At 46.1% G+C, this 1,559-nt stretch overlaps 2 annotated features.

Annotated features, from left to right (window-relative positions):
• Positions 1 to 627: an enhancer, noted in NCBI's record as "OCT4-NANOG-H3K27ac-H3K4me1 hESC enhancer chr4:190099043-190099669 (GRCh37/hg19 assembly coordinates)". NCBI's record gives its function as "activates a minimal SCP1, AML or CMV promoter by ChIP-STARR-seq in naive and primed H9 embryonic stem cells {active_cell/tissue: H9 hESC(naive and primed)}" and the evidence as "EXISTENCE:reporter gene assay evidence [ECO:0000049][PMID:30033119]".
• Positions 628 to 1,254: an enhancer, noted in NCBI's record as "OCT4-NANOG-H3K27ac hESC enhancer chr4:190099670-190100296 (GRCh37/hg19 assembly coordinates)". NCBI's record gives its function as "activates a minimal SCP1, AML or CMV promoter by ChIP-STARR-seq in naive and primed H9 embryonic stem cells {active_cell/tissue: H9 hESC(naive and primed)}" and the evidence as "EXISTENCE:reporter gene assay evidence [ECO:0000049][PMID:30033119]".

Raw genomic sequence — 1,559 nt, forward strand, 5'->3', positions numbered from 1 at the left:
CTCCTGGTCATACCCTGAGGGCTCACTGTCCTCTCAGCACCCCTGCTTTGATCACCAGGGCACATGGAACCCCACACATTCCACTCACACTGTGGACAACTAGGAGTGTTATCTCAGGCTAACAGGTGTGTCCTGCCAATCCAAAGGAGGGGTTTCTGTTATTACCAGGGAAAGAGGTTTAACTGCCCAATGGGTTTTTCCTGCTTGCTGCACAAAGACAGACCACATTATTACAGTAAAGAAAGAGTTTAATTGATGTGAGACTGGCCAGGCCATGTGGGAGACAGAGTTATTACCTAAATCAATCTCTTTGAAGGCTCTCATAGGTTAAGGGTTTTTCAAAGGCAGTTTAGAAGGGGCAGCGGTGGCTAGGAAATGGATGTTTGCTGCTAATTGGTTGGGGTGGAGATGAACTCGTAAGCAGTTGAAGCTGCCTCTTGAGCTGAATTGCTCCTGAGTGGTGGGTGCTACATGGGTGGTTTGGCAGGTCCAGTTGGAGCCATCTGTGTCAGACATGCAAAAAACCTGAAAAGCCATTTCAAAAGTCCAGTCTACTATAGTGATGGTATCTGCAGGAGTAATTGGGGAAGTTGTTTATCTTGTGACCAGTCTATACCTTAGCAGAATTTAAGCTCTTTTTCTCCCACTAGCCCAATGGTCTCTCATTAGCTTTACAAAGATGGTTGAGTTCTGAGGAAAGGCTGTTATCATTTAAATTATAACCTAATTGTCTTCCAAATTTACCTAGGCCCAGGAATAATTAAGGCAACTGGAAAGCTAGAGGCAAAAGGAGGCGTTGGCAAGATCAGACCTCCCTTACTGCCATAATTTTCTCATGGACATAATTTTTTTGAAGGCCATTTCAGAGGCCGTGTAACCTTGGATGGCTTAGAACCCTTCATGACTCTGTGGAGGGTTCTGTATCCTCTGTCATTAGAGAGACCCTGTGATGGAGGAAAAGGGAAAGAAGCTCTGCTATTTTCCTTCTCACTCTTCCCTACATATGTCCGCATCTCTAAACAAGATCAAACCTATGGTTATTAACACATAATAAAACATCATATGCATTCATTCATCCAACGGATCGAATTCATTGAGCACCGGTCTGTGGCAGGCTCTGTCCCTATGAAGCCTGCATGCGAATGGAAAAGACTGACCTGGGAAGGATGGACATAGTAAATAAGTAATTGAAGGCCATGGGAAGGGATGAGGAGACAGAGCACAACAGAGGCTGACATTTTGGAGACAGTGGTGAGGAGAACCTCTCCAAAAAGGTGATTGTGAGCAGAGATCTCAGAAAGTTCCAAAGCAAATTGTGTGCAGATCTGGAGGAAGAGCCCTTGAGGCAGAGTGCAGGGACCTGCTATGAACACAGGGTCAGGTTGCTAGAAGAAAGACAGTTGTAAACAGCTCACATTGATTGAGGGGGAGATGGGCAAGAGAAGATGTTTGCAGAGTTGGAGACAGCAGGGATCCCCTGATGCCACGCAGGCCGCTTTCGGGAGTCGGGATTTTATTCACTGAGGAGGCATGTCATGTGTGCCATTCTCAGCTCACCT

This window comes from Homo sapiens, chromosome 4 (genome assembly GCF_000001405.40).
Source record: "Homo sapiens chromosome 4, GRCh38.p14 Primary Assembly".
Classification (NCBI taxonomy): domain Eukaryota; kingdom Metazoa; phylum Chordata; class Mammalia; order Primates; family Hominidae; genus Homo; species Homo sapiens.